This window comes from Homo sapiens, chromosome 11 (assembly GCF_000001405.40).
Source record: "Homo sapiens chromosome 11, GRCh38.p14 Primary Assembly".
NCBI lineage: Eukaryota > Metazoa > Chordata > Mammalia > Primates > Hominidae > Homo > Homo sapiens.
This window is the reverse complement of record NC_000011.10, coordinates 69,461,160-69,474,470: the sequence shown is the minus strand read 5'-3', so window position 1 is coordinate 69,474,470 and position 13,311 is coordinate 69,461,160. Positions and strand designations below refer to the sequence as shown.

The following is a 13,311-nucleotide window of genomic DNA, read 5'->3' as shown; positions in this document are numbered from 1 at the left end:
GTGTTATTGATTTGATTTAGTTCATTTCCACTGAACTCAGTTAATTCAATTCAGTGCAACCCAGTCTCATCCAGTCCAACTGAGCAAAGGTTTTCCAAGTACCTCTGAGGGTGGCACGCTAGCCTGGGTCCTGTCTGCACTGTGAGATGTAGAGGAAGTGCCTCCTTGTCTGCCTTCCTGGCCCTTCCAATCCAGTGGGGCCAGAGTCCACAGGACACAGGAAATTGTCAGAGGTGGGCCAGTGAGGTAGCCAGGGACGTGGGCTCAGGTCTGGACACCATGTTTTCCTGGGAAAGTTTTTGCATTCCCATGGGCTTACCTGACTAGAGCAGGGAAGAGGCCATGTGGTCCTTGTCTGTCTCCTAGCCTGTCTCTGCCATTCGACTGGAAGCTATGGGAAGGCTGGCTCCCTGCCCTGCTTTCTGGGTCTCCTCTGCACAAATCTCAGGGAATGAGTGAATGATGCTGTGAAGTGGGGCTTTCCACTCCCTTTTGCAGAGCTCTTTCTGCTACACTTTGCTGTCTCCACACTACAGGCTGGCATGGTCAGAACAGGCTTCAGGGCAGGGGGTACTTGAGCTGAGCTTCTAGGGTAGGGAAAGAATTGATACTGAAGAAAAGAGAGAAAGACAGCAACTGTGTGAACAGTGGCTTTTTTAGCCGCCTGGCACTGTAGATGCAATTAATTTCTGCATTACAAACTATCCCAAAACACAGGGCTTAAAACAATGTCTGAATCTTTAGCTTGGCAGATAAGGCTGGGCTCAGCTTGGTGGTTTTCTGCTTTGGGCTGGGCTCACTGGTGTGTCCAGCATCAGCAGCAAGTCAGGTAGGCAGCATCACTGATATTGCCTGGGTTCTCTCTTATCTCTGGGCTTTGGCTGGAACATCTGGACCAGCTTGGCTTGGCCCCACAAATTTGTCATTCTCTTGCAGGCTGCCAGGGCTGTGTGGAGGTGTGAGACCACAGGGCAGCACGCAAGGTCCCTGGAGGCCTGGGCTAGAATCAGCACTCTGCCACTTCCACCATATTCTGTTGGTCAAAGTGAGTCATACAGCAAGTCCAGGTTCAGGGTGGGGAGACATAACCCCATTCTCCACGGGAGACACTGTAGAGTCTCTTTGCAAACGGCATGGCTGGGTAGGGTGTTTGTTCTCAGTCCGCTCCCTCAATTCTTCCATGAGAAGGTACCAGCTTGGGGCGAGCTCCTACCTGCCACAGTGTCTCTGCCCTCTCACCTTGCATCTCCAGCTGGCACACAGCCTCAGAGCCCATCTTGCCAGTTTGTCTATACTCAGGCTTATGGGGGCAGGCATGAAGGCCTGTGAGAATATTGGGTCCTGGTGCCCAGGCAGAGGCTCCACACTGGCCAAGAGGCCCTGAGGTGGCGTCTTGATTTCCCCAGGAAAAGGATGCCGGAGCAGCACAGGCCCTTGGAGACAGGCTCTTCTTGGGTCCCTCCAGGGCCCAGCTATCTGGAAGACTGGCCTTGTTCTTCCTCTGGGCACAGTGAGTGACAGCCGCAGAGGTCTGGGGACCACATGCAACTCTGTGGTCCAGGCTTGCTCCTGGTCAGCTCTGCTCTGGTCCAGCTGCTGAAGACCAGCTGGAGGGGAGACTGGGGCCTGCCTTTCACAGCCTGCTGCTCCTTGGAGGGGAGGCTCATAAGGGCAGGCAGGCGGCCACGTGGGGGCTGGAGATGGACTCTGGGCCTCAGTTTCCCCATCTAATCAATAAAGCAGTTGGACGAGGTGACCTTCAAGGTCCTTACCACTGCAAACCCTCAATCGCCGGCGAGCGATTGCAGAGCAGGGGTCCACAGCAGTCATGGGGTGAACACTGCATTGTGTGTGGAGCTGGGGTGTGGAGCTGGGCTGTAGGGGGCTTTGAGTTTGTCTGGTTGAACCCCCGATTTTCCAGAGTTGTCAAGTATGTGTAGGCTCAGCCTCACCCGGTCAGCAAGAGGGAGGCCAGACTCAGTCACAGGCTGACAACTCCCCCACCCTGGAGTCAACGCCCTTGCATGGGCCGAGTCCCAGCACGCGGAGGGAATGGAGAGTTATGAAGAGCAGGGCCAGACGGCTGGCGATGGTGCGGTCACACAAGGCCAGCCTCAGTAGGTGTCAGCGTTTGGTTCAATGCTATGCTGTCCCCGCTGAACAGCCTGCAGCAGTTTTGGGAAACACAGGAGTCTGCATTCTCACTTGGCACAGGGTCCTGCAGCAGATGCAGCAGGTCCTGCTGGGGATCACGGCATCAGGTGGGACCCAAGGGGCAGGCAGAACCACCTTCACCCCTGCCCCCCACCTGCACCTGCCCATTCCCCACTCATTAAAGCACCCATCAGAGTGAGAATGAATGCATGTGAGTGAATGAATGAATGACACCATGTAGGTAGCCGGGTTTGATTTTGATAGCCATGCACATGGAAGCCATGGGAAGGGTGTGTTTAGGGCTTTGTAATTCAGACTGTGGTGGGAGTTGCAGCCTCTTGGTCACCCGCAGGGCAGGGGCTGGGGCTGGGGCTGGGGCTGTGTGGGGCAGGGCAGAGCAAGGCAGTGTCGCCCCAGGATTGTGGCCAGGCTCATTCCCCCATACCTGCTTCCTCCCAGCTCTTGAGTCCCTCATTTTCCCCTCCAGCTCCTGAAGGCCGGCTCCCTGTTGCCCCTGTAACCCTCTGCTTCCCCTCTCCTAGTCCCCCCTGCCCCCATTCTCACCCTCCCGGGCCTACGATTGGGGGTGAGAGCAGGGAAGGGGCCGGCCACCAGCCCTGCCGGCCGAACTGGCCCCGGCCCGTGGACCAGGTGGCGCGGTGGCTGCCCGGCGGCGCGGGCAGCTTTCATCCCGGGCCGGGGCCTGAGAAAGCGTGGGGGCTGCTTTATCCCGGCCGAGCCAGCGGCTCCTGAGAAGCATTGAAGGCGCATTACTCAGACTGACACATTCCGTTTCCCTCGGCGAGGACAATGAGGGAGGGCCAGTGCAGGATATGGCGCTGGCCTTGTGCGCGGTTGAAGGTTTTTTGAGAAAAATGTGATAGATCACAATAGAGCACTTTGTTGTCGTCGAGGGCATTGGGATGGGGCCGGGACGCCGCGGGCTTCATCATTACTATGATGAGAGGAGATTTAGTGCCCTCTTTCTTTCCTCTGTCAGGGAGAACAATGTGTGAGGAAAGCGGAGGTTTCCCATTATAAATCACCGTAAGCCCCATGGAAATCCTTCCCTACCCTGGGGTTTGAGTGGGGCAGACATTGAGCGCGGGGCCCCGCGGCCCTTGCTGCCCGCAGCCGGCTCCGGGGCCGCCTGGACGACGGGCGGCGAGGGGGCCGGGGGTGCGCGGCCTCCCTGGGCCTGCTCAGCGCCCACCACGGCCCCCTCCCAGGCCCCCACCCGTGGGAATCGAGGCTCCGGGAAGGCCCCTGCTCTCCACCCCGAAAAGCAGGACTAGTCATGGAAAGCGAGGACGCTGGGCCTGACCACCCGTCAATGAAAGCACGGGGTGTGCAGAGCTCGTCCTAGGACCTGGGGGCCTGGGGGGTCTGGGGGGGCTGGGTCTGAGAAAATGCCTTGTGTCCGGCTTAGCGCGTCCCAGGCGGCCCCAGTCGTGGGGACTGCTGATCTCTGCTCCCAGTCCTCATGCTTTGCAAAGAGAAAAATGAGGCCACGATGAGCCCCAATTATTCCACCTATAGAAGGGAGCTCCACCACGAGGACCCAGGTCTCCTGGACCCAAATCTCTTTCCCACGGGGCAATAAGACCAACCCTTCCTCAAGGGCCATCAGTCCCAGAAACAGGGTGGCCGACAGCTTCCCTTCGTGCAGGGGGCTTCATTCAGGGAGCTTCTTATTCACCTGCCCGGCAGCCTCACTCAGGAGCCGCTTCCATTCTGCCACAGAGAGAAACCAGGAGTGGCAGGACGGGAACTAGAAATGTGGACTCCTGACCTCCTTCCAACTGACAGCAGGATCTTTGCAGAAGGGCCAAAGGCCACCCTTCTGCCAAAAGACTGGGCCTTTTTGTGGATTTTAGAAAGGGAATTGGGTGAGAATATCATCTATTATTGCAACCCTCCCAGTGCGGCTGGGCTGTGTCCCGTATTCGAATCCACGAAACAGATGGCTGTTCACCCTAAAGAACACAAGTGAAGATTTGTTCTGGTGGAACTTTTTCTGTTGCCAAAAATTCCAGGTCAGGTTTTGATGCCAAGTAAGTTATGAGAAAATTCTGGGATTCAGAGGTTTTTGGATTTCAGAATTTGGATAAGTGAGGTGGGTTTGTGTTACTGTCCGTACGGCTATTTTTATTATCTGAAGGCTTGGTCCCCAAAGAGACCTAGCCTCTGCTAATGATGGCTCATGTGGTCTGACTCGAGCCCCAGTTATTCCACCAATAGATTGGAGGTGATCATTGCATCTGCTTACAGAGCTGTTAAAAGGATCAAATGAGGCCCAGCACGGTGGCTCACACCCATAATCCCAGCACTTCGGGAGGCTGAGGCAGGAGGATCACTTGAGCCCAGGAATTTGAAACCAGCCTGGAGAACACAGTGAAACCTCATCTCTACAAAAAAATAAAGAAATGAGCTGGGCATGGTGGCACACACCTGGGGTCCCAGTCACTTGGAAAGCTGAGGCTAGAAGATTGCTTGGGCTTGGGAGGTTGAGGTTCAGAGAGTCGTGATTGTGCCACTGCACTCCAACCTGGGCGACAGCACAAGACCTTGTCTCAGACAAAACCAAACAGATCAAATACAATCACTGCTAGGAATGTGGGTAGTGCCCGGCCTGGCCCACCCCGAAAATGCAATGCGTATTGCTGCTATGATTACTAGGATTGCCTCAGGAGGGTCAGAGTTCACCAACCAAACGAGGGGCTTAGCTGTGCCCACAGCCTCTCCCCCTGGGTCTGTGGCTGCTTTGAAGGAGCCCCAACTTATGACCCAGGCTTGCTTCACCCCTTTCTACCCTCTGTGATCCAGTCACCCCAAAGCCCCCTCCAGCTCAGCCCTTGTCTGCGATTTCCACCTCCAGGTGTCCGGTCCTTCCTTCATGTCTTCCCCCTGGCTTGAAATTCTTGTCCTCACCGTCACGTGTTCTGGAACTGTCTTTCTTCCATCAGGGAGCAGCTCAACTGTTCTTCCTCTGGGAGGAGGGCCCTGGTATCCACAGGGAGTTTCAGTTTCCTGGGGGCAGGAGTGCGTCCAGAGGCTCACAGTGGGTGTGTGTGCATTGGAGAGAGTTTCAAAGGCGGCCCCGGAGCCCCTGCCCAGACCTGCAACGATAGAATCTCTGGAAGTGGGCCCAGAAACCTGCTCTGTACACCCATCTCCGACCATTTAAAATACACTGTGGCCTTGACCCCAGAACGCCTGGCTCCGGCCGCCCCGTGTCCGCTTCCACCACAGCGAGGCGGCATCAATGGCATCCCGTTTCAAGTAGAATAAAATCAACCTGCTTTTCATGTCTGCTCCTGCCAAGGCCTTCTCCCTCCTTCCCTTCCCCACCGGGCTCCAGCCACTCCACCATGCTTGGTCCCACCTCAGGCAGGCCCTGGCCGCCCAGAGTGTCTCAGGAGGCCACATTCCCCTGCTTGAGGCCTCAGCCCCAATAAAACCACCTTGCACTGAGGTTCCTGTGGGTTTTCTGCAGCTGGTCTGCCTGGCTTCAACTTCCCAGGCTACCCCTTATGAGCTGTGGGACCCTGGGCAGGTCACCTTGGCTCTCTGTGACTTAGCTTCCTCCTCTGTGGAATGGGGGAAATAACAGAACTTTCTCCTGCGGTGAGGATGAAAATGGCTTTGACACATTCAAGGTACTGAGTTTGTGCTTAGGAAACACTAACCGCTATGACTCCGTGACCACCCTGTCACCTTGTACCCCATTTTTCTATCCTATTACAGGTTTACGCACTTCCTGTCTGTCTCCTCTATGAGAATGGAGTCTGCGGCAGACACTGTATCTACTCAGTTCACCGCCTCATTCCAAGCACCTAGCACAGCGCCTGGCCCACAGTGGATGCGCAAGAAACCCATGGAATGAATGAATAAATGAATGAACGAGTGGACAAACCACTTCCCCAATACCTAGCTCAGTGCACGGCCTATGACCAGTGCGGGCCAATGCTCGCTAAATATGACCTATTAGTAAATCAGTGAAACTGCTCTTGCTGTAAGGAATTCTGTGCCCTTTGTCCTGGCTACTCCCGGAGCCCTGTCTTGCAGAGGACACCCAGGTGGGTCTTTTGCCCAATTTGTACTTGGCTCTGCTGGCTTTGACATGAAGACCACCACCTTCCAGAAACGCCTCATTTTCTTGGCAGCACCTTCCCCCCATCCTTCCCACCTCTAGCTGCTTCTTCCCAGTGCCCTCTCTCCTCTCTTCTGTCTGTGTTTGGGTCAATGTTCTAGTACCAGGGCAGAATGAGAATCTGGGTGGTGAGGTCAGGGCTGACGGCTTTCTTCAGGTCTAGAAGCTGAGACCAGCTCCCCTGAAATGTACACATCCCAGTGTCTGTCCGCCTGGGTCCTGGCAATGTGCCCACCTGGGCTCCAGGGCCCAGCCTCTGAGACTCCTCGGGGCCTCCCTGAAGGGCGGCTCTGACCCTGGCCTCTAACTCACCTTGCTTTGCTGACTCTCTAGATAAGGCCCCTCTGATCAGAAGCTCATTTTCATAAACCACAGCCACACTCCCTAACCCCACCGCACCGCCTACTCACGTAGGTCTCATGTCTTCCTAGACACCTTGACGCCTGGGCTGGATAATTCCTGCAATGGCCACTTTCCTTATTCATACATTGCAAGTTTCTTCCGTGGCATAGGTGGTCTTTGCTTCTTGGTCTCCTGTTATTGACTATTGTCCTATCATCCGGTCCTGGAAAACCCCAGGGGGAAGATGAGGATATGCTGTTTGTCCTGACCTTCCCTCGGCCTTTCTCTCTGCGTGAGGATTAGCCACAGGCATCCGCAAGGCAAAGGGTGCTTCTAAGGTGCTTGCATCCTAATCCTAATGAGAACCACTGTGCATGAGTGACCTTCCAGCAGAGCCAGCGAGAGGTGTTCTGCCCTGCCCTTCCCTAACCTGTGCCTGACATCACTTTCCCTGGCACTGAGCTGGATGTCCCCACTCCTCCCCAGGTCCCCAGCCCTCTCTCTTCCCTTCTCTCCACCAAAAGGCTAAAAAGATAAACTGCCTAAAGGCAAGGTTCCATTCACTTTTGCTTTAGCTTTTGTCAACTTTGGCAAACAATTGCACAGTGTCTCCTGGTTGTTCTGATGTCGTCTTTGTTCCCACTGAATTTGGTTTCTCCTCCAGGGCTCAGGTAAGATTGCACTCCTCACCAGCTCTGAGAGTGGGTGTGGTCACGGGACTTTTTTGACCAAGGGGGTGCAAGTGAAAGCAGTGTGTGTATCTTCTGGATGGAACTTTAAGAGCCAGTAAATGTTCACTCCTTCCACTGTCCCTGGTCCTCCTGAGATCTTAGAGCCCAGGCTGAGATTGAGCCTCCGAAAGCCTCTGCTCTAGACTGATGGGAAGAAAGGCCTGGGACTCTCACTTGCCACGGAGCGTGAGCAAAAAACAGACATTGTGGTTTAAGTCACTCAGCTTTGGGGAGGATGCTTTTTACTGTGGCATAACCCAGCCTATTCACCAGGCCTCTGCTGGCTGCCTGCATTTCTTAGTTTTTCCATTGTTTTTTTTTCTTGTCCTTTGTCCTTTTCTGTTGATTTATAGTATTTTTTTCCTTATATTAAAAATATTAAGTCTTATTAATGGAATTATTTTGTCACCAGCTGAAAATCTCCTTAAACAGGTGATTGGACCTAGGATTGGACTACTGCCAGAAAGAATGGCATAGATTCAATTGTTCCAAAACGTGAATTGTCATTTTTAGTAAACCTCTTTCAACATTTAGCCAACACAGCGCTAACAAGTCTGATTCGACTCATTGGGTTACCTGCGGGTACATGTTTCAGCTACTTTATCTCCAAGGTTCCTTCAGGAAGCCTCTGTATCCAAAGCTTGGTGTTCTGCTTCTGTTGGCCCCTAGAGCTCCTTAATTAATGATTTTTTTTTTTTTAATAATCAGGTTTGGCTGAAATTATTACAGCAGCCTTTCTCAATGAATAGGCTGTAGAACACAGTGCCATGAAACCAGCTCCTGAAAAACACTAGATCTGGAAAATAGGGTTTCATGGCCCAGAGTTTGGGGAACCGGGCACGAGAGCTGAGTCAGCATCTTTGGCTGTGAAAAATCTCTGCTTAATGTTGGCTGCCACGGGCTCCACAGCCTCTTTGCCATGGCATATCTTCTGGCGTGCCACTGACTCACACCATCATGAAATGAGCGCCATGCAGAACACAATCTTGGGGAAAAGCTTATCTAAGGAATAAAATTACAGGTCCAGATCACTTATATAACTGGCGCTTAGAAGAAGAGCCCACCCACATTATTTTTTGAGGACCCCCATGGCTGATGGTGAACCCCTGCTCTGAGGTGGGTGGCTTCCCTTCAGCCCCACGGCTTGTTGGGGGGCACCCTCCACCCAGCTGTCGCCTTGGGGTAAGGCTCCCCACGGAGCCACCCGAACTCGCTGCTGCTGGAAGCTTGCCAAACTGCGAGTCCTGCGCTTTGCCGGGAGGACAGGTAATCCACCTCCCCGGGAGTCAGTGTTCTCTAACTTGGCTGCACACGAGAATCACCTGGAGAGCCTGAAAAACTTTTCATGCCCAGACCGCACCCCGGACAGATTAGGTCAGAACTGGGGGTGGAACCCAGCGCCCAGTAACTTTGTAAACTCCCAGGTGATTGCAGCTTGCAGCCAAGTCTGAGCACCAGGCTCCAAGTGGGTGCTTCTGTAACTTAGTTCCAACTGGAAGGAGGGCAGGAGCGGGGGACGGGGACTTTGCAGAATCTTGTGGGATTCTGCAAAGTCCCCATCCCCATGGGAGTTGCAAGGTTTGGATTCCACTATGCCTCACCCTCGAAGCTGTGCTCAAGCCTCTTCAGGCGCAGCCACCAGACAGCTGCAGGCCCCTCTACCTCAGCTTATCCCTTGCAGGGGGCCTGAGCCAACCTCTTGTCCCCAGGGATGCTATGATTAAAATGGGCCAGAGGCATCCCTGTGTGTGTGCTGGGACACTGTCCAGTTGCTATTCATGCTGACACTGTCAACATGATCCTGATAAGAAGTTCCTCTTCTTTTTCAGAAGTAGCTGTAGCCCAGTGTCTCCCAGCAGCTTGTTAGTTTTATCCCATGCTCCTTGTAAATTCAAAGGCAGGGTGTGTTTTCCTTTTCACATTGGCTGCCGGGGAACTCAGAGTCAATTTTACTACTACATCACACAGTACACATTGAGGACTTAGGGCATATATTTTGACTTCTGCTTCATCTTATGTTTTCCTCACCTACTAAAAATCACATTGTATTGTGTGCATTTTTGTAATTTTGTAAGCCTCCTAGAATCTTCTTTTTGTGACAAAGTAGGTACGTAAAGTCACAAATCCACAAATAAAAGACAGGCTTCTTTTCTCTAGTTGCTCTTTGGTTGCAGAGTTGTTAGCTCCTCTCTCTTTGCATACGGCGCTGCTCCGGCCCCACCCATCACCCACTCAGCAGTGGCTCCAGCACAGCTCCATCTCCCACAGCCCCTGGCTGGGCCTCCCGGTGGTCTGTGGGCTCCTGGTCCCATCACATGGAGGACTTCACCCTGCCCTCTCCCCAGTCCTCCCTCTTTCGGAAACCTTTCCTGGTGAGACTTGCTGCCAGGTAGAGCCACACCTATGTTGTTTCATGGCTTAGTGGCAGTTGGTCCACAAAACTCTCCCTTCCACCCAATGGCAAGGTTCAGGTTGGTAGCAGCCCACTCTTATTTCTCTCTGTACCCCCCGGGTGGGGTCCCAGGCACAGGGCATGAGCCCTGTGGGGCACCAGGGAGTTGTCTGCTGAGCGGCTTCAGAGTCTCCAAGAGGCTGTGTCCCTCAAAAGTCGGTTCTATGCTGGGTGGGGGACTGTGGGCAGCCTGGCAACCCCAGGTGTGGTGGGATTGATGATGCTCCCAGATGGCACAGGTTATGAACTGTCCTGGCTCCACCCGGGCCCTGCTGCTTAGGAGCTGTGTGACTCCGGGTGACTTCCTTGCCCTCTCCGTGCCTTCCTTTTCTCATAAACAAAATGGGTAAAGAGAGTAGGCTTTTTATGGGGAGAGAACAAGAAAGGGCAGATAAAGCCCAGGGAACCAGCGCAGCCTCTGCTACCCTTAGGATTCTGCAGGGGCAGAAGACTCTCTGCTCCTTAGAGGCTGGGCAGGCAGAGGCCCCTGGGGTTGTCTGTACTCCAGGAGTGGGAATAGCCACAGGCTGAGACAAATTGCAGAATGGTCTCGGGAACCAGGCGCCTGCTGTGTGCCGGGGCCAGCCACAGATCCCTGCGGGGCCTCTGTTTCCCCACCTGCCCTGCTGGGGGGAGTGGGACTGGCCCTGCAGGAGGGTGAGGCTGAGGCCAGAAGGGAAGAAGTGAAGCCTTGAAGCTGTGCCGGCCCCCAGCAGCTGGCCTGTGTGTGATGATTTGGGGCGGGGGGATGGCTCTGGGGGTTTCTGGCTTCAGCCCTCTAGGCTTCCCCTCCTGGTGCCCAGCCTGACCTCTGTTGTGGAGGACCAGGCTCCTAGTCTGGAACCCCAGAAGCCAGCGTGGACCCGGGTCCGCCACTGAACTGGAGGCAGGCTGGCCTGGCCCTGAGCTGTTAGCTGTCGGGGCAGCTGGCTCCAGAGGTTGTTGCCATGGAAACCCAGACTGATGTTCTCCTAAACAGCTCAATTATTTGTGGTTTTTCTGTTGAAGATCCCAGCTAAGCAGGCCAGGACGGTGGCTGGGGTGGGATGGGGGCTGCAGGGCTGCTCAAGGAGGGAGTCCCCTGAGAAGGCCCTCAGCCCTGCCTTAGCCAATCCTTAGGGAAATGGTCCAAAGTCACTGAGATTTTGGGAGAGGGAGGAAGGGTGTGTTTGGAAAAAATGTGCTGAGGTCATCAGGCTTGTTTCCAGAAAAGCTTCTGTGGGAGGGTGTGGGTCCAGCATGCTCCTTAGAAGGAACTGGGGAGGTTTCCCACCAGCCACGGTGCCTGTGCCCAGCCCCACCGGCTGGCATTCGGTGCGGGTGAACTCAGAGAGGTGCCCCATGGGGCACTCAGCCCATGTGCAGGACACGGGGCCATGGCTTCCCCCACTCGTCCATCCCAGCTTTGCCTCTGGGTGCTCATGTGATCTACAGCTCCCCTCGCCTCTCAGAACCTCAATTTCCTCATCTGTAAATGGGAACAGCTTTCCTTGCCCGGCTTTCGGGTGGGGGAGAAGGTCTGAGCTAAGGGGTTCTGCAAGCTATTCAGCAGCCCCTTCTGAGGGACTGGGATGTCCCATGGGGAAGCAGGTATTTGGGGATAAGAGGAATTGTGCAGTGTCCTCAGATCCAAGACACACAGCTGTTTTGGTTTTCAGAAAAGAAACTGGAACCAGACATATCGAGACCTGGGTACCTTGCTGCTGGACCATACAGCAGAGGCTGCGGAAAGCATGCTGTCAGGAATGAGCACAGCAGTGAATCGCACGGGCTGGGGCCCCACACTGCTGGCTTGGAAGATTCTTTGGCTCTTGAGCAACTGGTGTGGCCATGGATGTCTGGGGCCGGGTCCAGGCCAGACACTACGGGTCCCACGTTCGTCCTGTCCACATGAACCCAGGGAAGGTTGATGGGTGACTGGCACGTGCAGTGATGGGCTCACAAATGGCAACGTCTCTTGGAAAATCTTCTAGCAGGAAGGAGGGGAGGAAAGAAAGTTTAAATGGCACAAAAGCAATTCTGCACATTCTAGGCAAGGAGAGCAAATAACACCCACAAGGCGCCACTCCCCTCTCATGCGCCGGCAGACACAGCTAATTGATGACAGAGTTCTTTCCTCCAGCGTCTAGACTCTCCCTCCCAAATCATCCTCAGCCCAGCAACCCTGGCCAACACCCGGCAACCAGGTTTGCACATGAGACAGACCCTTCTCTGCTATCCCTGGGCCAGGTGCTGCCCCTCAGCATCAGTGTCTGCAGATGGTCCCCAGCCTCCAGTGGGTGTAGAGCTGGTGCCGTTCCCATCGACAGCAGCCATGCTGTCACTGTGCGGGTTATCCATGCTCTGGCCTCCCCTGGGCTGAGCGTCCCTCTGCCCTCCCAGCCAGCTGGACTCACCAGTGAGTCTGCATAGAGCTGCTTTTCTCAAGCTCTGTGCCCGGGAATCCTGCAGATTCATACTCTGCAGACTTGGAGCTAGCCTCAGATCCTACCTCTCAAACCAGCTCCCCAGGCAATGCCACTGTTGCTGGTTGGAGAACCACACTGGGAACAGCAAGGGTTCAGACAACACTGAAATAATGAAACAGGGGTGAAGAGAATGGAAGAAGAAAAATGCCAGACACCATAGAATGGAGCCAAGGCTTGCATTTTGATTGGATGAGATGTTTTTCCATCCATGCTGAAGAACCAGGATCTAGAGAAAGCTGCAGGGCCATGCTCCTTCCCCTTTTCAGAAATGCGCTGGGCTTTTCTCCTTCTCTGTACTTCCAGACTCCAGTTGCTACAAGGGAGAAGAACAGTGGGTGAGGTTTGTTCCCCTGAAAACAGTCACTCCCTTTGGATGGCCTGGGGAGGGCTGGGCCGGCTCAGGGCGAGGTTTCCATCTCCCACTCCGGGCTGGAATCAGCCTTCTCCTGTGGCTATCCAGGCTTCTTACCCTGAGGACCCATTCCCTTTTCCAGTGGGGGAATCGTGACCTGGGGGGTGTGTGCACCTCTGGGACTCTGGCAATCTGCTGCAAATACATTGTTCCATTTACTCTGGTTGCATAACAAAACACCCCAAACTTAGTGGCATAAACCACCCTTTGTTATGCTCACAGATTCTGTGGCTCAAGAAATGGGAGCACACCAGGGGAGGCTCCCTCACATGCCTGGCAGTTGATGCTGGCTCTTGGCTGAGACCTCAGCTGGAGCTGTTGGCTAGAAAACCTACATGTGGCCTTTTCATGTGGGTTGGGCTTCCTCACAACATGGTGGCTAGATTTGAAGGGTGAGAATTAAGAGATGGGCGTGGGGCGTGAGAGTGGGAGAGGGAGACAGATTGAGATGGAAGCTGCATCATTTTTGATGACTTGAAAGTCATAGCTCCACTTCTGCCACAGCCTATTCAAGACAGTCACAAAATCCTGCCCAGGTTCATGGAGAGAGGAAATAGACCCTGCCTGTTGATGGGGAGTGGCAGGGTTCTGGAAGAGCA

General features: G+C 54.3%; 2 annotated features.

Moving 5' to 3' along the window:
- Window positions 10,053-10,786: an enhancer, noted in NCBI's record as "H3K4me1 hESC enhancer chr11:69278453-69279186 (GRCh37/hg19 assembly coordinates)". NCBI's record gives its function as "activates a minimal SCP1, AML or CMV promoter by ChIP-STARR-seq in primed H9 embryonic stem cells {active_cell/tissue: H9 hESC(primed)}" and the evidence as "EXISTENCE:reporter gene assay evidence [ECO:0000049][PMID:30033119]".
- Window positions 12,631-13,199: an enhancer, noted in NCBI's record as "NANOG hESC enhancer chr11:69276040-69276608 (GRCh37/hg19 assembly coordinates)". NCBI's record gives its function as "activates a minimal SCP1, AML or CMV promoter by ChIP-STARR-seq in primed H9 embryonic stem cells {active_cell/tissue: H9 hESC(primed)}" and the evidence as "EXISTENCE:reporter gene assay evidence [ECO:0000049][PMID:30033119]".